A 1623-nucleotide genomic window follows, 5' to 3' on the forward strand; every position below is an offset into this window, starting at 1 on the left:
ATTCTATAGGTTAGGAGTTGGAAAGGGCACATTAGAGGTAACTTTTCTCATCCCATGATATCTGCGACTCAGCTGGGAGTATTGAAGGTGTGAAGGGACTCCATGGCTGGGACTAGAACCATCTGAAGCAGTGCTTTCCAGTGAAACTTTCTATGATGACAGAAATATTCTATATCTACATGGCCCAATTTAGTAGCCCTAGCTACATAAGGCTATTGGACATGTGACTAGCAACACATTACTTTATTTTCAATTCAATTTAAATTTAAATAGTCATATGTGCCTAGCGGCTGCTATCTTGGGCATCACACAACTGATGGCTTGTGTGCTAGTGCATTTGGAAGTTGATTCTGGCTGTCCTCCAGTTTCTAACCTATAGGTGACCTCACTTTGTGTTCTCTCTCCTTCTTCATAGCACATTGATAAGGTTCAAGAGCAAGCATCTCAAAAGGATCAGAGAAGGTTATATCACCTTTATCACTTAACCTCAGAAATCAGACAACACCATGTCTTACTTAATCACAGACCCCCTGAAATTCACAAGTAGGAAACACAGATCCCACTTTAACACCATGTTTTACGTAGAGCATTTGGCATGGGAGATCTTGTTGAGATCATCTTGGAAAATACATCTGCCATACCACACATCCTAGTAAAAGGGGAGGGTGTGTATGGCTTATCCTTACCATTCTACTTTCCTAGATTCTAATTTTTATTCCTTAAACCATGTAGCTAATTCATATAGGCTGTATTATTTTGTCAATTTGGGGATTCCTAGTAGACTTGAAAGTTATTAATTCAGCAGAAGTAAAATAAACCTCTTTTCATTAAAGTGAGCAGGTGTGTGTTTATCTTGGGCAAAAGAAATATTTCAACAATTTAGAGCAAAGGGAAAATATAGATCATAGAGCATACAGGCTTCCCCAGAGGCCTACATTCCTCTCATAACTGTGCTCCTGATCAATGTTCATAATCATGTGGGACAGAAATCAGGAGAGCACCCGTATCTCTTCACAGGATACTTTCTCTCTTACCAACCAAGAGATCATGTTGTTAGTGTGTTACATTTTTTAAAAAATCATTTTTTCTTCATATCACTGGAAAAATAAACCAGGTCCTGGATATTGAAATGTTCACAGTACCCAAGTGTCTAATAAATCATAACATAAGGGTTTAGAAGCAATAGGAAATCTTCTGAGAGGATGATCAGGCCATGGCCTACCACCATATTACATAAAAAATGCATTATATTGTAACCTGATGATACTTACCTGGCACATAAGAATCAAAATAACTCCTTTCCTATGAATCCTTTTTAACAACGTAAGGCATATTTTTTACTCTTTCTTCTATGCTGTATGGTAATTACAGAGCACTTGGTTCATACTCAATATTTGGTTGTAACATACATATTCTACTATATGGCACATTTGTAATTTTTTATCTGACTTCCTATTTGACAGTGAAATCATAAGACAAAGGGATGGCATCATATTTAATGTAAATCCCCAGAATCCCCAAGGTGCCACATTAGAGTAGAGTCACAATAAATCTGAAATGATCTGGTTGTATTAATGAATAAGCAAGTATATTGCAAACTTACGTCTATAGCAGAATGAAAGA

The 1623-nt window shown here is 37.0% G+C and overlaps 1 annotated feature.

Annotated features, from left to right (window-relative positions):
* Positions 274-474: a silencer, noted in NCBI's record as "peak1425 fragment used in MPRA reporter construct". NCBI's record gives its function as "represses an SCP1 promoter by STARR-seq MPRAs in K562 erythroleukemia cells {active_cell/tissue: K562}" and the evidence as "EXISTENCE:reporter gene assay evidence [ECO:0000049][PMID:32103011]".

The sequence above is a fragment of the Homo sapiens genome, chromosome 11 (assembly GCF_000001405.40).
Source record: "Homo sapiens chromosome 11, GRCh38.p14 Primary Assembly".
NCBI lineage: Eukaryota > Metazoa > Chordata > Mammalia > Primates > Hominidae > Homo > Homo sapiens.